The sequence below is a fragment of the Homo sapiens genome, chromosome 3, assembly GCF_000001405.40.
Source record: "Homo sapiens chromosome 3, GRCh38.p14 Primary Assembly".
In the NCBI taxonomy this organism is placed as follows: Eukaryota; Metazoa; Chordata; class Mammalia; order Primates; family Hominidae; genus Homo; species Homo sapiens.
This window is the reverse complement of record NC_000003.12, coordinates 27402316-27427459: the sequence shown is the minus strand read 5'-3', so window position 1 is coordinate 27427459 and position 25144 is coordinate 27402316. Positions and strand designations below refer to the sequence as shown.

The window sequence follows — 25144 nt, the reverse complement described above, 5'->3', positions numbered from 1 at the left end:
TTAATATGTATAAAACTTGTGGCTGGGCATGGTAGCTCATGCCTGTAATCTCAGCACTTTAGAAGGTCAAGAGGGGAGGATCACTTGAGGCCAGGAGTTCATAGTGAGACCCTCATCTCTAGGGAAAGTAAAAAAAAAAAAAGAAGTGAATTTATTTTTAGTACTTGTAAATACCTTTTTCTAACTCAGTGGTTCTCAATCTTGGCACTATTGACATTTTAGGCTGGATGATTCTTGGCTGGGTGATTGGGTGGCAGGGGAGTAGTCCTGTGCTTTATAGGATGTTTAGCAATATCCTTGGCTAGCTGCCTGCAGCACCCCCGAGTTGTGACAACCAAATATGTCTCCAGACATTGTCACAAGTCCCTTGGGGGTCATAATCTTTCCTAGTTGGGCACCATTGCTGTAACTACCTCACTTTCAAATTTTTAATGAAAAGTTTAAAATTTGAAATTTAAAGAAAAATTTAAAGAAAATGCTGATATCTTTGATTTCCTTATACATATATTTTTTTCCTTAAAGCAAAGTAATATAGTCCTTCTGTGTTTGTGCTAATGATAGCTTTATTTTTTTGTAATTTGCTCATTGTGAATGCTAGGAATTTATTATAGGAGCAGGGAGACTTTACTGATTGAGAAAACAGTTTTAGTTTAGCTGAGGTTGGGAAAGACTACACAAATCATAATGATGAAGAACTGTAGCATGCATCCAGTGTGCCAGTTTTGAAAAAGGGACAGGTTTTCAAGATGACCAGGTTAGCCATGTGACTTCAGGTTATACCTGCTAACTTTGTCAATGTTGAGTTCTTCATTATTTCTTCTTCTCATTGCTGGCATATCCTTACTTTTCCTTAGAGTCTTCTCATCATTCCACTTTTTTCCCTCATATCTGGCAGCTAGGACTATTCTGGAAAACTGTGCGTTATGTATGCTTTTGATGATATATATACACAGGTGGAATACATTTAGCCTTTGGAAGTATGTAATGCTCAGCTGCGTTTGCCACCAGGGCCAAATGGTACTCTCAGTTTTCTTGTGTGGAAGTAGTTGGAAGTCACTGAAAAACACTGGTTAACTTTTTATCTCTTGAGCAAGGAAGGGACTCTTCTGGAAGTTTAGGGACAAAGGTCAAAGAAGAGGAATCTTCTTGGTGTGCCAAGCTAAGGTTGTAAGAAATGAGTTGAGGCTTGGGAAATCGTTTGTATTTCGGAATTGTTTAACTTTTCCAGAAAGTGAGCACATGGCTAAATAGATTGCAAATTAAGATTTTTCGTCACATCAACATTGTAGTTTAGGTATTTACAGAGAAGTGACGATGACAGCAGTCTCTGTCATAAAGCGTAAGCCGTAAACCCAGATGACTTAGTTTCAGTATTCATTGGTTATAGTATATTCTGTTTTACAAAAGTGAAAACTCCTTTAGATGTGTCAGGTATATCTGATGTACTTTAAATTCTGGAACTTGATTACCAGTACATCTTCAGAGCTTATAGAATCTAACCACAAAACAGATTTTAACTGAACTTCCATGTGTTGCTGTGCATGGGACAGTTAAAACAAAAAGTAAAGTCTGTTGTATTTCAGTACCTTTTCCTCCTATAATGTTCAGTGTTTTAGGAATTATTAGTCTATATTCTTGCACTAGAAAACCTTGGATGTTTTGAAAAAAATGAGATGCATTTAATATTAGGTTGGAGCAAAGGAAATTGCACCAACCTAGTAGTAGAAATCTGTGTAGTGTACTTGAATTTAAATTTTTTTTTTTTTTTTTTTTTTTTTTTTTTGAGACAGAGTTTTGCTCTTGTTGCCCAGGCTGGAGTGCAATGGTGCAATCTTGGCTCACTGCAACCTCTGCCTCCTGGGTTCAAGCAATTCTCCTGCCTCAGCCTCCCGAGTAGCTGGGATTACAGGCATGCTCCACCACGCCAGGCTAATTTTGTAGTTTTAGTAGAGAGGGTGTTTCTCCATGTTGGTCAGGCTGGTCTCGAACTCCCAGCCTCAGGTGATCCGTCCGCCTTGACCTTCCAAAGTGCTGGGATTACAGGGGTGAGCCACAGCGCCTGGCCCTTTTTTTTTTTTTTTTTTTTTTTAGGACGGAGTTTCTCTCTCGTTGCCCAGGCTGGAGTGCAATGGTGCAATCTTGGCTCACTGCAACCTCCGCCTCCTGGGTTCAATCGATTCTCCTGCCTCAACCTCCCAAATAGCTGGGACTACAGGCACACGCCATCACGCCCGGCTTATTTTGTATTTTTAGTAGAGATGGGGTTTCACCATGTTAGCCAGACTGGTCTTGAACTCCTGACCTCAGGTGATCCACCCACCTCTGCCTCCCAGAGTGCTGGGATTACAGGCATGAGCCACTGCACCCGGCTGAATTTGAAATTTTTTAAATTTTAACTTTTTTGCAGAATTAGAATTCATAGTGTTAATGATTAGTCTCATATTAAGCTGTGTTTTTATTATTGCGAAATGTTGGTGTTGAATGTCACTTTTGAAATGAATATACTAATGCTTCAATATGTGTCTGTCCTTTGAAATCCAAACAAGTATCATTTCTAATCCAAATAAGCTATTTTTATGAGTTTGTCTGACTCTTAGAGATGGAGTGAGTTTCTTACAGTCACATAGATACAAAGTGGCAGAGAGTGCATAATTTAAACACAGATCCCTTTGGTTATAAAACTCTTACTCTGCCAATTTCATTGCAAAAAACTTGCTTGTTATATTTTAAAGTTGGATTTCTTAGGAGTAATGACAATAGGTATTATAGACATAAATGTTAACAAAGAAAAATGAAAAGTCTTTAGGAAACTTCTGATTATGGGAGATTATGTTAATTCAATCTGCATTTAGTTAGTGTAGCTTTTTTCTGAGTTACACTTAGGGTTTGTCAGAGAATTTATTGTTGAAAGCATGCTAAGTACAGCTAGGCTTCATTAAGTTCCATGCATTTCACATGTTTATGATAATTAAAAGTATATTCCCTAAGTATTTTTAATGATAATCAGACTCAGGTCTTCCATCTTTTGTGGTTCACACCAACTCACGTTTTATTTCTTTTTGCAAAAGGCCACAATTTTTGTAAATTCTAATTGTATTATTTTAAATATTAAAATGTATAGCTTTGGTATTGCTTAAAATGTTGTTCTAGTTTTGCTGGTATGTTACTAACACCGGGCACTTATTTTTTTTAACCTTGCACATTTGCTTTTATAATATTCATAAATCATCACTTTCAGAATGTGAGCAGAATCAGGTTGCAAAGTGAATTTTCTCCTTACTAATTTGGAATTTGTCTTTAAACATAGGTATTTTGGCCTCTCCCCAGTCTGCTCCTGGAAACTTGGACAATAGTAAAAGTGGAGAAATTAAAGGTAATGGAAGTGGTGGAAGCAGAGAAAATAGTACTGTTGACTTCAGCAAGGTAATTCTATCATTAACTGAAAATTCTCATAATTATTCTTACTGAGGAAATAAGTAGTAATTTGTGGCTAATATTATTAACATTGATGATAGTAATTTTTTAGTAGACTGGTGCTTACAAACCTGCATGTGATGTCTGTGATATGTTAATTTAAGGTAAAAACTGTGAGAAGGGTTACAGTTAACCTGTGAGTACTTGAATAACTTTACACCATTACTAGTGTTAGAAATTCTGAAAAAGAATATGTGAATAATACGATATTTCCATCCATACCTACCCATAGATATCGTGAAACGTCAGTACTTTTTGAACTACAGTCATTTGTTCTGGAGCTACCACCACTAGAACGTTAATTCTGGGAGTGATGTTACAGCACTAATGATTCAGTCTTTCCTGGGCTGTAATGCGATCCCAGAATTACTGTCTTATGGTGTCAGTACTTTTGGAATGTCACTGAGAAATATATTGGTGCTTCCCCATGGGTAGGTTAAAGGCATGGATTACAAAAAAATACCTATGTGAACTATGATTTTTTTATTTTGGTAAATGAGTATTTTGTTGAAATAGATAAACCTTAATTTAAAAGAACAGGGCAAAAGACTACTAAGTTCAAATTGTAACTGAATGTAAAATGTACTTTATGAGTATTTCTTATGAACAATTGATTCTATCTAGCCACTAATTTTTTAGTAGTATTAATTTGCTATAGTAAAATACCAGATGCTCATGGTATTTTAATATTTTTGTATCCAGTATAAGACTTTTTAATAAATGTAATTATGTCAAGCTGATTTCATTTCTTAAGCCTTTTAGTCTTTGATGAAAAGTCTACAAGATATATTTTACAGAAAAGGAGTTTAAATGGTTTGCATTATAGCTTTGTTGAGTGTTGTAGTCTAAAACTATAGGAAGCCTAGCATTACGGACATTGGCTGTGCAGAAAGGCTGTTGTATTTTAAATTTTTCTGATCTATCCTGATCACATTTTACTGGTGCTCATGTTATTTCAGATAGTGCAAAGTACTTAGTAACAAAATTGCAATTTATTTCTTGTTAAATGAATAAATTAATATAATTTACATTATAGAGTTCCTCTAGGCATGGCAGTTGCCGTTTATTTTTGTTCCTCTGTCACAGTCTTACTTTTTTTTACTTGGCCTATCTTTGTGTATACTTCCTTGTCTCCTGTTGGGCAGGAGTCTGCCTCCTGGCACTGTAGTTGTGGCACACTGGGTGTGGGACTCAAGAGGCCCGCTGTAAGTGCTGGTTTTACTTTTCATAGATAGCCCTGTAAGTGGTTGTTTAGTGACTTGTGTGAAACTGCATATAAATGAAGTTCACATAATTTGGTATCATGTGTAACCTTTTCCTTGTAATTATACACAGAAAGCTAAATTTTACTATTATAGCATTATCATATATCTGTGCCAATAAGGGCTATAGATTTTTGTTTTAAATAAAAACAAGGGGCCAGGCATAGTAATTCATGCCTGTAATCCCTGTGTTTTGGGAGGCTGAGGCAAGAGAATCACTTGGCCAGGAGTTCAAGACCAGCCTGGGCAATATAGCAAGCCCCCCACCTCTACAAAAAAACAACAAAAATTAGCCAGGCGTGGTAGCGCATGCCTGTAGTCTCAGCTACTCGGGAGGCCAAGGTGCAAGGATTGCTTAAGTCCAGGATTTTGAGGTTTACAGTGAGCTATGTTCCTGCCACTGCACTCCAGCCTGGGCAATAGAGTAAGACCTTGTCTCAAAAATACTACTAATGAAATAAAAGTAATGATTTTTTTTCCAGTTAATGAAAAGACTGGGAAATGCCCAGAGTAATTTTTTGGTTTGTTTTTAGGGGGACTTTACATAAAATGTAAAGGTTTTCTAAGGTTAAGTAATATAAAACCATGAATATTTTTTAGCACTGTGTATAATTTCATGAACCATTGTTAGTTTGTGAACTACATATTTGTCCTTAATAGTTTTTAATGAATAGTGCAGTATTCATTGAAAAATTTCTCAAGTTCATGTTTGATAAAGATTGTGACAGTTAAAACAGTAGCATTGATTCAAATAAGTTTGCTTGCTTTTTTGTATGTCTACTCCATTCTTTATATTTGTGAAAATTTTGACATTTTAAACATTCATTAGATCACAAGTTTTGATTAGCAAATAGTAGTCTTATAAAGCAGTTTTTCTTTCCTGTTTCTCTCTAGTCTTACAAATACCACGGAAACTTTATTTTTAATTATTTATTTGTCAATAGGTTGATATGAATTTCATGAGAAAAATTCCTACGGGTGCTGAGGCATCCAACGTCCTGGTGGGCGAAGTAGACTTTTTGGAAAGGCCAATAATTGCATTTGTGAGACTGGCTCCTGCTGTCCTCCTTACAGGGTTGACTGAGGTCCCTGTTCCAACCAGGTAAAGAGTTAGTTCCAAGTAACATTCTCTAAGCATTTTCAAAATCTACAAGTTTTTAATCCAGCGAATGAACAAGCATGTTGATTTATGTAATAAAAGCTTATTTTATTTAATTTTATCTTATTTTTGAGACAATCTCACTTTGTCATCCAGGCTGGAGTGCAGTGGCACAATTTCAGCTCACTGCAACCTCCACCTCCCAGGTTCATGCGATTTTCCTGCCTTAGCCTCCCTAGTAGTCTGGATCACAGGTGTGCAGCACCATGCCTAGCTAAGTTTTATATTTGTAGTAGATATGGTGTTTTGCCATTGTCCCATCTGGTCTCGAACTCCTACTTAAGTGATCTGCCTGTCTTGGCCTCCCAAAGTATTGGGATTACAGACGTGAGCCACTGTGCCCAGCCAAAATCTCATTTTAATAGTTAATATTCAGCCACTGTACCAAATACTTTGAATATAAGACTCCTGTGAATAGGGCATAAAATCATTTTCTTCCTGGAACTAAAAAGTACAATAAAATAAATATCGGCTGGGCACAGTGGCTCACTGCTGTAATTCCAGCACTTTGGGAGGCCAAGGTGGGTGGATCACCTGAGGTCAGGAGTTTGGTAGAAGGTTGATTTGGTAGTTAATTATGGTTGCTTTTCCTAGTTTTCTGATTTCCTTTAGTCCGGGTGGAGTTGCCATCTTTTTTCAGTGATTGGTGTGGGGGAGTAGAAAAGATGTCTGAGTGTTGTTTCTTTGTTTATATTTGAATGGTTTCTTTTTTATGATTGCCTAGCTTTGTGGGTGTATGATGTTTATTTTAAAATCTGTATTTTCATATTTCCTTAGGTTTTTGTTTTTGTTATTGGGTCCAGCGGGCAAGGCACCACAGTACCATGAAATTGGACGATCAATAGCCACTCTCATGACAGATGAGGTAATCAGAATACTCCAAGTCTCTTTGAAGTAGACACTAATTATGCAGCATATAGTATATATTAGATTACAGTTCTCTTTTCTTTCATAGTGAAGCTCTAAAACTTTTCCTTGCTGTGTATACTGTTTTATCTCATATTTGCTTCTCCTATTTGCCTTCGGTTAGGTTTTTAAGACCTTTATATCAAGATCAGTGGGTATTTAAAAATTTTTTTTTGTTTTAAACATTTGTAATTATTGACTACCTTCTTGAACTTTCGAAATTTTGGGATTTTTTTTATCCTAGATTTCAGCATATCATTTCTCTAGGTTTTCCTCAGAACATTTTTTTTCCTGTAAATTTCTCTGATATGGGGTCCCGATCTTTGACGATAACCTACATACTAATCAGGACCTTGTCTTTCTTTTGAAGAGAGATTTGTAATCAGATTCTTGCCAAACATCAGTGCTGTGTGTCCCAAGGGTATTTGAAATGCCCCATATCTGAACCTGACCTAATTTTTCTTTTTCTTTTTCTTTTCTTTTCTTTTTTTTTTTGAGACAGAGTCTCACTCTGTTGCCAGGCTGGAGTGCAGTGGTGCAATCTCGGCTCACTGCAATTCTCCTGCCTCAGCCTCCCGAGTAGCTGGGACTACAGGTGCACCCCACCATGCCCAGCTAATTTTTCTGTATTTTTAGTAGAGACGGGGTTTCACCGTGTTGGCCAGGATGGTCTCAATCTCCTGACCTTGTGATCTGCCCGCCTCGGCCTCCCAAAGTGCTGGGATTACAGGCGTGAGCCACCGCGCCTGTCACATTTTTCTGTCCTCTTTCAACCAGCCAGTCACCAGATTCTTTTTACCTCTTCAATGTGTTTTGCATTTAATCTGTCATATTCTTTCCATCTCTACTGCCATTTCTCTGGCTTAGCCTTTTATTTGTTGATTCAAGTAGCCTTTATGAGTATTTATTGTATAGTATTTTTCTCTACACTCTCAGTAACATGCAAATTTGAATGTATCATTTCCTTAGTCCAAAGATATTAATGACTTCCTATCATATAGTGAAATTTAAATTTAAACTTTTGGCCGGGCGCAGTGGCTCACTCCTGTAATCCCAGCACTTTGGGAGGCCGAGGTGGGTGGATCACTTGAGGTCGGGAGTTTGAGACCAGCCTGGCCTACGTGGTGAAACCCCATCTCTACTAAAAATACAAAAATTAGCTGGGTGTGGTGGCACAGTTCTCCTGCCTCAGCCTCTTGAGTAGCTGGGATTACAGGCATACGCCACCACACCTGGCTAATTTTGTAGTTTTAGTAGAGATGGGGTGTCACCATGTTGGCAAGGCTGGTCTCAAACTCCTGACATCAGGCGATCCGCCTGCCTCGGCCTCCCAAAGTGCGGGAATTACAGGCATGAGCCACCGTGCCTGGTCAGTTACCTCCTTTAAGAGAATTTTCCTGGCTCCTTTGTTCTTTCCCATCAGTTTCCCTTTCTGTACCCTACTTTCTTTTTATCAGAGCGTCTATCAATACCTATAATTATTTATTTATTTAATAACGCGTTTCACTGTTTTTCCTCCTAGAAAAAAAGGTTCTTGAGTATAGGGACCTTGCCTTACCTGTCACCATTGCATTATCCACAATGCTTAGAATTGTATTTTAGCAGTTAGTAGGTAGCCAGTAAATATTGGTCATTAAATAAATTATTTAAGTAAAGTTGTTTGCATATCCATGATTATTTTCTTAGGATAAATGACATTTAAATGTCATAGAAGTAGAATGACACGCTACAGTGTTTTATTTTCTAATCAATTACTATTTCCCAGGCAAAATTTTATTTTTAAAAAATTGTTCTGTCTTAACATGTAACTGTTCTCTTTCATTGTTTGTTATTGTTAATTCATCTGATAATACTGAGTGGATTACCTTTTATAGTTGTTACCCAGGCTGGGCTGAATACCTGCCTGAGATAAGAGTTTAGGGGTTATCTTTATTGTGAAGCTATTTATGATATCCAGAGTGGATTTACTATGTGTAGAAATTTTTTTCAACTTTAAAATCTTTTACTCAATATTTTTTTCACTTAGATTTTCCATGATGTAGCTTATAAAGCAAAAGACAGAAATGACCTCTTATCTGGAATTGATGAATTTTTAGATCAAGTAACTGTCCTACCTCCAGGAGAGTGGGATCCTTCTATACGCATAGAACCACCAAAAAGTGTCCCTTCTCAGGTAAGAATCCAGAGCTATTCTTCTGTGACTTACTTTATTTTAATAAAATTTTTTTTGATTAGGTGTGATTCAAAAACCAAAACAGAGAAGTTTTATCCCCACCTCGTCCTGTTTACCTTCTTACCCCCATACTTACCTCCTGTGGGTGGACCATTTTTTACTAGTTTTTTGTTTATCCTTTTCATTTTTCATTCAGTACTTGAAACTATGAACATGTAGTCTTGTTTCTGTCACCAAAAGTTAGTGTATTGCATATACCGTTCTGTACCTTGCTTTTTTCATATAAAAGTTGTATCTAGGAGATCTGACATAAGAAATCATGAAAATATTCCTTATTCTCTTTTTCACAGCTTTGTTGTATTCTATGCATGGATGTACCATAATTTATTCTATTCCTGGGTTCTGATGTTACCAGTCTTTTGCTATTTCAAACCATGCATGACAATATCACATGTCATTTTAGTCTTTTGCAGATGTATCTGTAGAATAGATCCCCAGTAATAGGATTGCTGGGTCAAAGGGGAATTTATTTATAATTTTAGTAGATATTACCAGAATTCCCTCCATCAGCTGGAGTGTTTTGGACTCCTGCAGTGATGTATGAAAGGGCCTATTTCCCTGCATCCTCACCGACAGTGTGTGTTGCCAGACTTTTGGATATTTGTCAATCTAATAGGTATCTTTATCTTCCTATTTTAAGTATTTTAATGAGGTTTTTAATTGAGTTTTTATGAGACAGGGTCTTGCTCTGTCACCCAGGCTGGAGGGCAATGTCATGAACATGGCTTACTGCAGCCTCAGTTTCCTGGGCTCAAGCAAACTTCCTGCCTTAGCCTTCTATGTAGCCTGGACCACAGGTGTGCACTACCAGCCCCAGCTAATTTTTTGATACTTTGTAGATATGCTGTCTCACTTTGTTGTGCAGGCTGGTCTCAAACTCCTGGACTCTAGTGATCCTCTTGCTTCAGCCTCCCAAAGTTCTAGGATTACAGGTGTGAGCCACTGCTTCCGGCCTTTTAATGAGGTTTTAATTTGCATTTGTATAATTAGTGAGGTTGAATATTCCTGATTATCTTTTGTTCATTGCCCCACCACCAAAAATCCACTTCCCATTACATTTTATTTTTTTTAACATTTAAATTGTTCATTGATCCTTTGGAGGTTATGATAGCGTATTTTATGTGAGTATGGACCCAGCTTCATCTTTTTTCTAAGTTCCTGCCTGGTTCTCCCTGTTCATTAAGAGCTAAACATTGCTCCCCTTGGTTGGTGATGCTGCCTTTATTAGCTAAAATTCCATTTGTATTCAGGCCTGTTTTGGACTTTGTTTTGTTGTCCATTGGTCTGTCTATTCGTGGACCAATTCCACACTCCAATTTTTGAGGCTTTTTGGTATATTTTAATGTCTGGTAGGTCTAGACTTGTTCTTGCTCTCTTTCTTACTCTTGTTTTTCTGAATTTTCTTGGCTATCTTGCATATTTATCTTTCTGTGTAGGCTTTAAAATCAGCTTTCTATATTCAGAAATATGCGTAATGGTTTTTAAAAAGTTGTGATGACAAATTTCTCATTCAACTGAGGGAGAACTGACGTCTTCATGAGTTTGAGTCTTTCTATTCAAAAACATGGAGTGTCTCTCACCAGTTGATTTTCTATTTCAAGCAAGTTTTTGTATTCTTAAAGAATGTTGTCAAGTTTTCCTTATAATTTACATGTTTCTTGGTGAGTATATTCATGAGTATTGTATCTTTGTTGCTTTTATATGAAATGAAGGCTATTTGTTATTTTTTATGTGCATATATACATACACAGTTGACCCTTGAACAATATGAGTTTGAACTGTGCAGTTCTAATTATGTGGAGTTTTTCAATAAACATTGGAAAGTTTTTTGATAATTTGAAAAAATTTGCATGCAAACTTCATAGCCTAGAAATATCAAAAAATTAAGATTAATTAGGTATTCCTGAATGCATAAAATATATGTATGTACTAGTCTTCTTTAATAATAATTTATTACCATAAGATATATACAAATCTATTCTAAAAAGCTAAAATTTATCAAAAACTTATACACACTAAGAGTGTACATGGCACCATTCTCAGTGGAGAGAAATGTAAATAAAAGTAAAGATGCAGTATTAAATCCTAACTGCATAAAATTAACTATAGTAAATACCATACCACTGTCATTGTAATTTCATAGTTACTACCTGTTGCTATTGCAGTGAGCTCAAGTGTTGCAAGTTAACATGCGTAAAATGCTGTGTGTTGCTCATCGTCTCCACATCAGCAGTTTGTCTCTCCAGTAAATTGTGTTTACCCTAAAAAGTGATCATGAGGTTCTCATATATTTTTCATCATGTTTACTGCAATACTGTAAACTTTTGAGTAACAACATGGGACTCATAGGAAGTCCTGTTGGTGATACTAGTAAGTGTTCCTAAGAAAAAGAGAAAAGTCATACAAATGTAAGATGAAGTTGAATTCTTGGTATGTACCATAGAATGAAGTCTGCCATTGCCTGTCATTTCAAGATAAATGAATCCAGCGTAAGGATCATTGTAAAAAGAAAAGGAAACGTAAAGTCGTCACTGTAGCTATGCCAGCAGGCATGAACACTTTTGCTTTTTTGCAAAATGCCTTTTTATCTCATATTGAAAATGCAGCTTTTATGTGGGTGCAGATTACTATAAGAAAGACATACCTATAGATTCTGATACGACCAAGAAAAAGCAGTCATTTTACGACAACATAAAGCAAAAGAAAAGCGAAGGATCGGATAATTTAGTGCCAGCAAAGATTGTTTGGTAATTTTAGAAAGAAGTTTGGCTTAAAAAATGTCAAAATAACTGGAGAAGCAGCTTCTGCCATCCAGGAGGCAGCAGATGAGTTCCCAGATCAGATCCTGTTAAGAAAATCCCCTGAACGGGTTTTTAATGCAGATGAAAATACTCTGTTCTGGAAATAATGCTACAGAAGACATTTATTAGTAAGAAAGATTAGTGAGCACCAGGATTTAATGCAGGAAGGGTTAGCTAACTGTTTTGTGCAAATGCAGTCCAATTTATGGTCTTGACTACCCTTCTCTATAAAGCTGCTAATGCTGAGCTTTGAAGGGAAAAGATAAATGCCAGCTTCCAGTCTTTTTGTTATATGAGAAGGCCTGGATGAGAGCCCTTTTTCTGGATTGGTCCCATCAGTGCATTGTTCCTGAAGTCAGGAAGTACCTTGCCAGTAAGGGACTGCCTTTTAAAATCTTTTTGATATTAGACAATGCATCTGGCCACCCAAAACCTGTGAGTTCAGCACCAAAGGTGTCGAAGTGGTCTACTTGCACCCAAGCACAATGTCTCTAATTCAGTCTCTAGATTAGGGGGCTGAGAACCTTTAAGTCTTGATACATTAGATGCTATGTAGAAAAGATTATTAATGCTGTGGAAGAGAACCTTGGAAAGCAAGGACATCATGAAAGTCTGCAAGGATTACACCGTTGAAGGCACCATCATTATTATAGAAAAAGCCAGGAACGTTATCGAGCCTGAAACAATAAATTCCTTCTTGGAGAAAACTGTCCAGATGTTGTGCATGACTTAACAGGTTTTACAGCAGAGCCACTCAAGGAAATTGTGTATATGGCAAAAAAGGTGGAGGTTGAAGGGTTTCAAGATGTGGATCTTGGAGAAGCTCAAAAACTAGTAAACACCACATCAGAGGAGTTAACAGAACACAACTTGATGGAGATGAGTGCTTAACCGGTACTGGTGATGAGGACAAAGATATAGAAGTAGTAGTGCCAGAAAACAAATTGATATCAGCTGATCTGGCAGAAGGGTTCTGATTATTCAGGATTGCTTTTGACTTCTTTTGCAACATGGATCCTTCTATGGTTTGGGTACTGAAGGAAACAAGGATTGGTACTGTCCACATTTTTAGAGAAATGAAATAAAGTGAAATAGAAATTATGATGTATTTCCATTAATATTTTCTTTTCGCTAGCTTACTGTATTGTGAAAATATAGGATATAACACCTCTAACATGCCAAATATATGTTCGACTGTTCATGTTACCAGTAAGGCTTTCCAGTCAACAGTAGGCTTATTAGATTGAGTTTCAGGGAGTTATACACAAAATTTCAACTGCATGGGAGTTGGTACCAACTCCCTTGTTTATTCAAGAGTCAACTGTGTATTTTATTATTTTTTTTGAGATGGAGCTTCGCTCTTGCCACCCAGGCTGGAGTGCAATGGCAAGATCTCAGTTCACTGCAACCTCTGCCTCCCGGGTTCAGGTGATTCTCCTGCCTCAGCCTCCCGAGTAGGTGGGATTACAGGCGCCTACCACCATGTCCGGCTAATTTTTGTATTTTTAATAGAGATGGGGTTTCACCATGTTGGCCAGGCTGGTCTTGAACTCCTGACCTCAGGTGATCCACCTGCCTCGGTCTCCCAAAGTGCTGGGATTACAAGTGTGAGCCACCACGCCTGGCCTCAACTGTGTATTTTTAATCCTGCTACCATCCTTAATTGTTTGTAATAGTTTTTCAGTCAAATAATCTGTAAGTAAGAGATAGTATTATTCCTCCTTTTCTAAATCTTATACATGTAATTGTTTTCTGTTGTCTAATTGTATTAACTAAAATCTCTAGTACAGTGTTAAGTAGCATGGGCTTTAAATAGGCATTTTTAAACTTGTTTCTCACTGTAGTCAAATGTCTCTAGTATTTCTCCCATTAAGTAAGATAATGACATTGGAGCCAAAATATACATTTCATCATGTTAAGAAAGTAACATTATTTCTTTTTTATTGACATTTAAAATATAAATTGATGTAGAATTTTATCAAATGCCTTTTCAGCATCTCTGGCAAATGATTATATTAATTTTATTTATCAATTATTATGGTAAATCATATGAATAGATTTTTGAATATGAAAGAATTCCTGGAGTCAACCCAGTTTGGACTTTAAAGTGGTAGTGGTCTGTGTCTACTAGTTTGTATTACTGTAGATTGGTTTATAGATTTTTGTGCCATCTTCACATTTTATACTTCACATCAATATACTTGTTTCATAAACAAGTTTGTAAGTTTTCATTTTTGTTAAACAGTTTTAAATGGTGTGGAATAATTTGATTTTAAAAGTTTGGAAGAATTCCTTTGTAAAGTTTTTTGAGCTTGAATCTTTTGTCATGTAGACTTCAACAATTAGCTTATTTCTTCTTTGGAAATTGGTATATGTAAAACTTCCTGTTTTTTCTGATGTCAGTTTTGGTAAATCATTTTCCTAGTATATTACCAGTTTCATCTAGGTTTCAAATTTATTTGCATGGAGTTATATGTAGTATGTATTTGTGTATGTATATAAAATGTGCTCACTATGAAATTATTGCCTCTTTCCTTTTTTTGTTTTGTTATTAGCTGAAGGTCTATTGTATTTTTCAAACAGCAGTCTTTAAAAGTTATTTTAGTACTTTTAAAAAATGCATTTTATTTTGTATCTTAGTTTCTGCTGTTAGCTGTTTTATTTCATTCCTTTCACTTTCTTCCAGGAAAGATTTTTTGTTTTCACATTTTCTGAGGAAGTTGTTTAATTCACTTTTTTTTCCTTGTTTCATTTCTCTTAATATAATTGCTTAATTTTCTTGAATGTGCTTTGGCTGGGTCTCATGGGTTTTATTAGGTTGGCACAAAAGTAATTGTGGCTTTGGCCATTATTTTTAATCAATTCAATTAAATGATTAAATCAGTTAAATGATTAATTAAATTAAAAATAATAGCCAAAACCACAATTACTTTTATAATTTGTAGTTTTTAAAATTATTTTTGTTTCCTAGGAGTCTAAAATTTTATCCCTTTCCTCTTTAAGATGTAAGTTTGAAAATTGAAATTTTGTAAGTGAGATTTTGACGTTTTCAAATGGCAGTCTTATATTTGTAGATGAGCCTTGCTACTCTCTAAATATGGAGCATGTAAACCAGGTAGCTTAAGTCTTTTATTCACCTAGAGCCTTTGACCCAGTAAACCTCCTGGGATGTCAGATCTCTGTCTCCCTTTCCCTTTACCTCTCTGTTTCCTTTTCTTCCATCTTTCCTACCATCTTTCCTCTTGTATGTGCACATGCTCACACATATTTTTAGCCCCAGCATCTCTTGATGTAACAAGTTAAAAGTTCATTTCTTTGTCTTTAACAGAGGGGGAGAAATCCTGTATCATGTGAATAGTACTCTTGAATTTGTAATAAAATGTAATGGGAAGTGGATTTTTGTGGGAACATGTTTATCAAACAGCTCTTATTTTTTAAGGGAAATACTTTAGTAGAAGAAAAATGACATTTGCTTTTCTCTTAATGTAAAGCGTAATTTTCAATAGTTAATAGGAGCAGTATTTTTAAAGTTTTGGTGGGAGAGATGCTTTTTTGGAGGTTACTTACGTTTGTAGCTATTGGTGAATAGGAATTTGAAATGGTATGTATGAATATATTTTATAGTATATTGATAATTAGAACATAAGATGCAAAAAGCTAATTGCAAATTTAAAATATTAATAGAAACTGACATTAGCTTCTATTTTTAAAGAGCAATCTATTTCAGAAGAGAGTTTATTTTAGGAACCATTCTTTTCTAGGAGAACTGATTAGATACATAATCAATATAAAATCTGATATTCACTCTAATTGAAGATGCCATCTCAAGTTTTCTTAAAATAGAATTCTGAAAATAATGTTTTTTGTGAAATTCAGGAAAAGAGAAAGATTCCTGTGTTTCACAATGGATCTACCCCCACACTGGGTGAGACTCCTAAAGAGGCCGCTCATCATGCTGGGCCTGAGCTACAGAGGACTGGACGGTGGGTGCAAATACTGATATTTTGAAGGGTTTGGGGGATGATTTGATGAAAACATAAATATTATATTTTTTCCAAGTGTTTGGAACCTAATCTTGTACAGTATTTTTTCATATGTATAAAAATGTGCATTATTATATATAAGGAAAATTTATATGTATAAATATATAAGAATTTATAAATAATTTTAATAGTATGTATCAAGCTTTAAAAGGAAAATAATGGACTGTATATTCAGAATATTGCAGTTATATAGTGTGTAGGTTAATTTCCATTGCTTATACAGAAGGTTCTTGAAGAAGGTGTAGAGTCTTATTATAATTCTTCATATTGAGTTAGAGAATTATGGGAACAGAGAGTAATTACAACTAATAATTTCTTTGTATATGTGCACAGATTTAAAACTCTTAAATGAGCATTATATCATGAGGTAATCTTCCATGGACAAGCATGATTAAACCATTGTATTGCTCTCTGGAAACCTAGCTAGAAAAATTGTTTAAGAAGTTAATTTTTGTAACAAAAAATAGAAATATTGGCAGATGCAAACATTGCCTTAATATTTTGTAGAAGTAGATAAATGTTATAGTATTTTCATAATGTGGAAAAGCATGTGGCTATTGATTCTTTATTGTCCACTGGTGGTCAGTATGGAATTAAATAATCTTAAATATTAAATCTTTGTGTAAAAAAAACAGGGAATCTTATACAGATACAATCTTAGGGATTTTGATGACATCCTTAAAGGGTACTATATCATAAAAATAAGTAACTGGCATACTGAATATAGACTTTAGAGAAACTGAAATTCACAATTAATTCATTGACTAATGAAGTGTTTTTGTCTCTGTGAATACAATAGAGAAAAGATTTTGACCCTGTGTGAACAGTACTGTTGTATTATTAGCTATTATCGCTTCTTCATACTGGGATAGGGTTAGTCATTGAGAAGCACTGTGTCAGGCCTCCACTGATCTCAGTCACCTGAGAGCATCTGTATGCCCTCTATTAAGTAATTATCAATTTGATGATATACTGTAGATTCATATTTTAGATTATTGATGGCACCTTTTTTATTGCAAGCTGATTTCCCTTGCTGTCAGATTATGAACAGAGTACTACTTGTCAATTTGTGTTTAGGATTTCAGTATCAACTTAAAAAAATTACAACGGTAAAGCTTGAAATATCCATTTGAAAGCTTAATGTTAGTTTTTTTGGTCAATTTTCTTGCAGTTGGGATTTGAATGATTTTCTGTTTTTTGAGTATTAAAACGAATTACTGATTTAGTCACCAGTGTTTGTTGAGTGCCTACTATTTCCCAGGTAGTGTTCTAGACACTGTAGATAACGCAGTGAACAAGAAAAAGTCTCCCCTCATGGAGCTTATATTTTATTGGAATGTCTTCAAGTTAGATGTATCCAAAAGACTAATTGTTAAAAATGTTGAAATGGTACAGCTTTGATGTACAAACAGATTTTTAATCTACTAATTGAAACCTGTTAGTTTTATTAATGTACATATTAGTTTGTCTACATACACAGTAAATTAAATATACTGAAATAGTTTTTAGGGATTTCTTTCCCCCTTTTATACGATTGAAGTACTAGTTTTGAAAGTTTTTAAAGTTACTGAATTCATACCACTTGTGCATCTAAGCACAACATACTACATTTATATTAAAGTGTATTTGGATAATAATTGCCTTCCTTGTATTTGTGATTGTTGCCTTTAAGATTTTAATATAGACAATTAATAGAATTGCTTATGCACATTTTCATAAATGGGTTGTTGGGTTTTGTTTATTTTGTTATACCTTGCCTTGCACATTTGTGTCCAAAATTACATTTACTCATATAAAATCATTTGCCTGCAGTCTTTTCATTATATAGTCCGTAAAATACAGATATTTGTCTCTTAATGAAATATAACATTCCTCTATCATTAGATTAGATTAAATGAGTGTATCTTCTGTAATTTATAAGTTAAATTGGATTTAACATTTTGTTGACAAAACACCTAGGCACCAGCAGTTTTGTGTAGCCCATAGTTTTAGTTTGAAGTAGCTAGAATCCTCTAGTGTACAGTTTGACGAGTTTCATCTCACCTATTTAGGCTTTTTGGTGGTTTGATACTTGACATCAAAAGGAAAGCACCTTTTTTCTTGAGTGACTTCAAGGATGCATTAAGCCTGCAGTGCCTGGCCTCGATTCTTTTCCTATACTGTGCCTGTATGTCTCCTGTAATCACTTTTGGAGGGCTGCTTGGAGAAGCTACAGAAGGCAGAATAGTGAGTACAAAGATTGGTAGTGGCCAGGCTTTTAGCTCTTCAGAGGCAAGTGTCTGTATGCATTTGTCTCACTATTCATACTTTTATTTGAAGAGTCTACCCACAGCATGATTAACGTGACCCAAAGCAGACTTTCCCCAAAGGTAATTGCTGTGGAAAACATGGGGAAGCCATTTGAACAGAAGATGCACAGTTGAGGTAAAAAAAAATTAAAAAAAAGTTTACTTTGGCTTGCTGGATGAATGGTTTTATAAATTGAGTAAAAGGCTTGGATTGTCTTTTGAGGTGGGGTGGACTGGGAGAAGACAACAGTTGAACTGATTCTGGGTGGGTCATGGGGGTTTTTATCAGTGGGGCTACTTCATATCCTGTAAGGTATCATAGGATTAGTTAGAGCCACAGGATGAATATTAACTCCTCAGTCCTGGCTGGTAAGCCTATACTCGACTGGAAGAATAGAACATAATTATGGAAACTGTGGCTTTTTGAAGTGGCATTTAATTTTGCTGTTATTAAGTCTATGTGAAAATAGCTAAAACTTTTATTTGGAAAATATAATTGAAAGCTTCATCCATTCTTTGATATGACTAAAATGAAAGTTTTTATGTTTTCCTGTTCCTGGTTATACTGTATTCAGAGCTATGGTGCTTTGTAAAATCTTGAAAGGCATTTCTTTGTTGTTGTTGATATGCATTTTAATGGCATTTAAATGAGACGATTTGTAATTCTTAAGTGCATTTTACTTAATTGTATTTATTCTTGGGAGAACATTCATTTTTTTATAGATCAAAGGTTAAAAAATAACCAAAGCTAAGGCATGATAATTATCGAATTAAAATATTTCATGATCTAAACATGAAATAAACCTAACAACTGAAATTTTCTTTCAACTCTGAATTTATTTTGGATTATGTAAAATCTTTTTACCTTAGTCTTTAATCATTGTATCAAAGGTCCATATTTTTAGTAAGTTGCTTTATGTGCTGTCACAAATTGTGCATGTCACTCTGCTAGTCCCCATGGAAATGTGTTTTATCTGTTACCATCATGGAATTGCTGCCTCTTTGTCCGTGGACTGTCATTCATTACCTGCCCATCTAATCTTGCTATTTGATATCTTGTACATGTGACAATGTGTTTGGCATTGGAGGAATATAGATAAGTGTAAGAAGAGCCAGTATCTCCTGTCCTCAAGGATTCTAAGTGAAAAAAGTGAAAAAGACAAAAGTGATTAAGTGAAAAAGACAAAATAGTATATACATAGTGCTTTGCCACACGTGAGTGAGATAAAGGAAGAGCTGTAGGATTTGAAGTAATAGAAATAGAGGAAGCAGAAATATTATAGAAGAAAGTGAAAAGGATATGTATTAGTTATCAGGTGCTTTATTAGAACTTCAGGTGGAAATGGAGATATTAGGAGATACGGTCCCAGAGTGTGTAGAGTGGTGAGGAGGAAATGTAAAGATTGGGAATCGTTTATATAGGAGTGAAGGTTGAAATAGAATAGAGGAAGTTAACAAGAAAGATAATTTACAGGGAGAGAAGGAGAGGGGAAAAGTGTGAAATTACCCAGATTTATGGAATGAAGGAGGGATGGGATGGAGGAGGAAAATGATTTCAGCAAATTAGACACACAGACCTAGAAGAGGAATCAGAATGATGAAATTCTGTGAAAACCAAACTAGAGGTTTTGAGGAGGGAAGATTAGCAGGAGTATTTGATGATTTGAAAGGGTAGTACAGTAGAGAAGGTGTATTTATAGGTGTGTGAGGGGAAGGTAAGGGTAGGTAGGCCTTCTGATGGGTACAATGGAAACTTCTGAATGTGAGAATGAGGTAGGCAGGCAGGGTAATAGGCTGATTTTTTTTTTTTTTTTTGAGGCGGAGTCTCGCTCCGTCACCAGGCTGGAGTGCAGTGGCGCGATCTCAGCTCACTGCAACCTCCGCTTCTCGGGTTCAAGCAATTCTCCTGCCTCAGTCTCCTGAGTAGCTGGGACTACAGGGGCCCACCACCACGGCGGGCTCATTTTTGTATTTTTAGTAGAGACAGGGTTTCATCATGTTGGTCAGGCTGGTCTCGATAATGTGACCTCGTGATCTGCCCACCTCAGCCTCCCAAAGTGCTGGGATTACAGGCGTGAGCCACCGTGCCTAGCCAGGCTGTGATTTCTTTAGGGGAAAAGACAGGTAACAGTATGGCAGTGAACATAGAAACAGTTCAAAAATTAGAAAAAAAAAAAAAAAAAGGTCTTCATATGGCAATATCTGCTTTTCAGCCCAAGATTAGGAGAGGGGAACCTTAATTTTATACCGATTTGCCTGTGTTAATGTCTTTTTTGACATCTCCTTGCTTCATGTCTCAATGTTTTGCTTTTTTTCTCTGTATGTATACCATTTAGACATTTTTTTCCTTTGTTTCTGCTTTTTGTTTTTTTGAGACAGGGTCTCACTGTGTCACTCAGGCTAGAGTGCAGTGGCATGATCTCAGCTCTCTGTAGTTTTGACCTCACTGGACTTCCCTCATAACCTCCGGAGTAGCTGGGACTATAGGTGTGTACCACCACGCCTAGCTAATTTTTTGTATTTTTTTGTAGAGACCAGCTTTTGCCATGTTGCCCAGGTTGTTCTTGAACTCCTGGGCTCAAAACAATCCACCCACCTCGGCTTCCCAAAGTGCTTGTGTTATAGGCGTGAGCCATGGTGCCCGGCCCATTTTTTTCCTTTGACTTAAGCTCTGCATAAATTCATTCCTAAATATGCTTATTGTAATTGAACTAAGGATTTTATGATGGCTTAGCAGTGTCTTTTAAGAACATTTTTCTCCACAGACAAGAAAACAAATTTAGCCCATATAATTAACAAATGTGTCATTAACACGGACACTTCTCCTTTATGCTGCCAAAAGATAAATTTGTTTATCTTTGAGTTTGATCCTGTTTTTATTCTAATAGTTGAATTATACTTTCATTGCATACTGTCATTTTGTGATTTTTGATTTTGGAAGATGCTGTTCTAGCTGATGATGAGAATTGCTACCTATTCATTGACTATATTCTGTGTGCCAGACACCATGCTTGCTAGGTGTTTTTGCAAATAATATTTATGTTCTAGTTATCATCACCGCCATTTCAAAGTGAGAAAGCTTAGGCTTAGAAAGGTTAAGATATGGCCATGGCTGAACACCTAGTAGCAGTCAGTCTTCCCACTGGAAATCTAGTTTCGGAAGCCCTCCTCTTTGCCTGTTGCTGCGCTGCCTCTCATTTCAGCAGGATTGTTTCTTACGAGCTTCTTTTCTCCTTCCCTTTACCAATTAATGGGCTGGCTTTTCTGGATAGTACGTTCCAGTTGACCTTGATGTTTGTATATGGTAAACTATTCTTTCCTTACTTTCTGATTCTTTCCCCCTTTTTCTAGTGGCATAGCTAATCATCTGATAGCCTAATTAGTTAGAATGTAATGGTGGTGGTTGTACAAAATTAGTATACTAACGTTGATTTAAATTCTCTTAGTCTTTCATTTTCTCTATCTTTTCTTGCCAAACTTTAGTGATACTTTGTCATTTATGGTTGCTATAAATTTTTTTGAGGAGATTTTTCTCATTTATTTTGTTAAATATTTCAGTTTTGATAATTGATTAAGCCTATCATATTAGATTAATTTCTTTAAAATATGTGGAAAGTTTTGCTCTTTAGAAATCAGTTTGAGAAAGATAGTCACATGTTGATTTATCACCTATTCGAAAGATCTTTTTATAGCAGTTCTTTTTTGTAGCACCATATTATTTACTATTTTTTATTTTTAAAATGAACTATTTCAGCCATATAAAAGTATTCAAAATAATACATATCCTTCTGTACTCACAGACTTAAGAAATAAAACATATATAGATAAAGTTGAAGCCCTAGTATGTGTCTCTCCCATTTACTCTTTGCTCCTTTCATCCCACAGCACAGGTTGAGTATCCCTTATCTGAAATGCTTCGAACCAGGAGTAGTTCAGATTTTGGATTTTTTTTAGGATTATACTTCTGGTTGAACATCCTTAATCTGAAATCTGAAGTGCTCTAATGAGCATTTCCTTTTGAGTGTCGTATTGGCACTCAAAAAGTTTGGAGTGTGGAGTTTTGGATTAGGGATACTCAGCCTGTATTGAGTTTTGAATTAAGGATGATCACAAAAGTTTCTTTTTAATATGCAAAAAGAAAGCATTTTTTCTTGTGTATTTAAAATGTATTTGTAATTTTTTATATTTTAAATTAAAAACTCAAAGTGGTGTTGGTTTTATAACTGCTTGATGGGTATTTTTATTTTCCAGATGTCTTACATGTATTATAGTACGTTAGAGAAATGTTTATGATGTATTGCTTTTATTCATTTCTTTTTTCCTTAAACAGAGTGCAATAGAGTCTCTTTTTGGAGCATCATTAACTGGGATTGCCTATTCATTGTTTGCTGGGCAACCTCTAACAATATTGGGGAGCACAGGTCCAGTTCTAGTGTTTGAAAAAATTTTATATAAATTCTGCAGGTAAGTAATAGCCCTCTCTACTTATCACATGTGTTATATATGAAATTGTTTATTAACTTAGAAGGGAATTATTTAATTGCTTAAAAGTAATTTGGTCAATATATGCATTCTCATTATTTTTGAGCTACTGTATGATTGACCATCCTCTGGCCCCTTCCATTCTTAATCCAGTAACTTGGAGATGAAGAAAGTAAGATTGTCCTTGAGTATAAAATCAGTGGATTTGAATGCTGATAAGCAGATCACTTGAGGGCTAAATACAAATCCTTTGTGCTAACAAATTTAAACCAGTAAGAAGGTGTTAATCTGAATTGGGTTGAAGCAATCAGAGTGAAGTGTCAGTTTCCATCGGTGAGGTTGTTCACACTGTAGAAATGAATATAGGGTACTGTAGCTGTTAGACTTTGAATTCAGCATGGCTAATACTGTTCCTTATTTTATTTATTTATGTATTCATTTATTTGAGACTGAATCTCACTCTGTTGCCCAGGCTGGAGTGCAGTGGTGCGATCTTGGCTCACTGCAACCTCTGCCTCCCAGGTTCAAGTGATTCTCCTGCCTCAGCCTCCCAAGTGGCTGGGATTACTGGCGCCGCAACCACACCTGGCTAATTGTTTTATTTTCAGTAGAGATGGAGTTTAACCATGCTGGCCAGGCTGGTCTCGAACTGACCTCAAGTGTTCCACCTGCCTCGGCCTCCCCAAGTTTGGGATTACAGGCGTGAGCCACTGCTCCCAGCCTCTAGTACTCTTCCTTTTGTGACATAAATGAAGTTTGTATATTTTAGTTTGAAACAACTTGATGCTATTACATATTTGATGGATCCAGCTCTCTTTTTCTGATTCTGTACTCACTAAACAAGCTTAATCTGATTCCAATCTGGCATGCCACATAGACTAATAGAGAATGCAGTGACCCGAAGTATAGATTCTGGTAATTTCTTGAAGTTTAAAATAAGAAATCACTTTCTGTGGTGATAATGGTGGGAGAGGAGGGTAGTGGTAGTGATGGTAATGATGTTGGAGCTGGTTACTGTATTGATACATATGATGTCTGGATCTTTAGAGGGAGTAAGATGCAATTGTTTTTTCATATAGACACCATACCTGTCATTTACTCATAACTGATTTATAAAGTGAGCTGTAATGATTTTGAAATATTTATCGCCTGGTAGATTTTCACTGTAAATCTTTTATATAAGTGTAATAAACTATTAATAATTAATACTAATTAATTTATTAATAATAAATCTACTAATAAGCTAGTCTTCAGCCGAAGCAGAAAAAGATATAGAGTTATTTCTAGATGTTATTTTGTCATTCTGTAATTCATTCTCTTTTAGGAATCGTGTTTTCTTGCTGTTCCCATTGCTTGCAATGAAAAATTTTAGGTACAAATACTATTCCACATATGTTTATCATATTCATATTTTTCTTTCTAAACAGAGATTATCAACTTTCTTATCTGTCTTTAAGAACCAGTATTGGTCTGTGGACTTCTTTTTTGTGCATTGTTTTGGTTGCAACAGATGCAAGCAGCCTTGTGTGTTATATTACTCGATTTACAGAAGAGGCTTTTGCAGCCCTTATTTGCATCATATTCATCTACGAGGCTTTGGAGAAGCTCTTTGATTTAGGAGAAACATATGCATTTAATATGCACAACAACTTAGATAAACTGACCAGCTACTCGTAAGTATTTCTCTTTTCTCCTAATATTAAAATGTGTTTTTACAGAGATGTCAGAGCCTCAGAAAATGAATTTTTTTTGCAGTGTGATAGTGTAACTAGCTATAACTACTTAACTAGCCATGTGATAGTGACATGGTTGTTTCAGATGAGATTTTGTCACAGCATTCAATGAACAAAAATATAGTTGATCAAATTCAGTATTTTTTGTTCACTGAGATAGCTTATTCACATGTGTATGTTTTGGTCTTCTGTTTGAATTGGATTGGCCAGTTTAAATTTGATTGGCAACTGATCCACTATATATTTGAATCAGGCAATTATTACATTGGATCTTATATTCTTTAAATCCTAGATGTATAATAGAATGTAGACTTTTTTTTATATATTTTTCAAATTTTGCATCTTCATTAATATTGTTGAAGCTTGATTTTTTTTTTTTGGAGACGGAGTCTCTCTCTGTTGCCCAGGCTGGAGTGCAGTGCCACAATCTCAGCTAACTGCAGCCTCTGCCTCCCAGGTTCAAGTGATCTTCCTGCCTCAGCCCACCAGTAGCAGGGATTACAGGCACGTATCACCGTGCCTAGCTAATTTTTGTATTTTTAGTGGAGACAGAGTTTCGCCATGTTGGCCAGGCTGGTCTCAAACTCCTGACCTCAGGTGATCCACCTGCCTCGGCCTCCCAAAGTGCTGGGATTACAGGCGTGAGCCACTGTGCCCGGCTGAAGCTTGATAATTTTTACTGAAAGTTATTTCAGTACATTCAATATGTGTTTTCGTTTTGATAAAAAAAAAAGTGCAATGAAAATCTTTTTAAATTCTAGAA

The 25144-nt window shown here is 35.7% G+C and overlaps 1 protein-coding gene across 27 annotated transcripts in view; it reads left to right on the top strand.

The window, feature by feature from the left end:
• The window catches only part of SLC4A7 (solute carrier family 4 member 7), a 111662-nt gene that overhangs the window by 56925 nt on the left and 29593 nt on the right, over nt 1-25144 (top strand). For 20 of the 27 annotated variants that reach the window (XM_017007527.3, NM_001321106.2, XM_047449246.1 and 17 more), the window contains 8 exons: nt 3308-3423; nt 5681-5838; nt 6673-6760; nt 8828-8974; nt 15712-15818; nt 17930-18104; nt 22497-22630; nt 24076-24321. In XM_017007527.3, the coding sequence (XP_016863016.1) occupies nt 3308-3423; nt 5681-5838; nt 6673-6760; nt 8828-8974; nt 15712-15818; nt 17930-18104; nt 22497-22630; nt 24076-24321 (1171 nt within the window). Of the gene's footprint in view, nt 1-3307; nt 3424-5680; nt 5839-6672; nt 6761-8827; nt 8975-15711; nt 15819-17929; nt 18105-22496; nt 22631-24075; nt 24322-25144 lie in introns of those variants that run through there. The other 7 variants (NR_135541.2, NR_135544.2, NR_135543.2 and 4 more) reach the window with 3 other exon arrangements.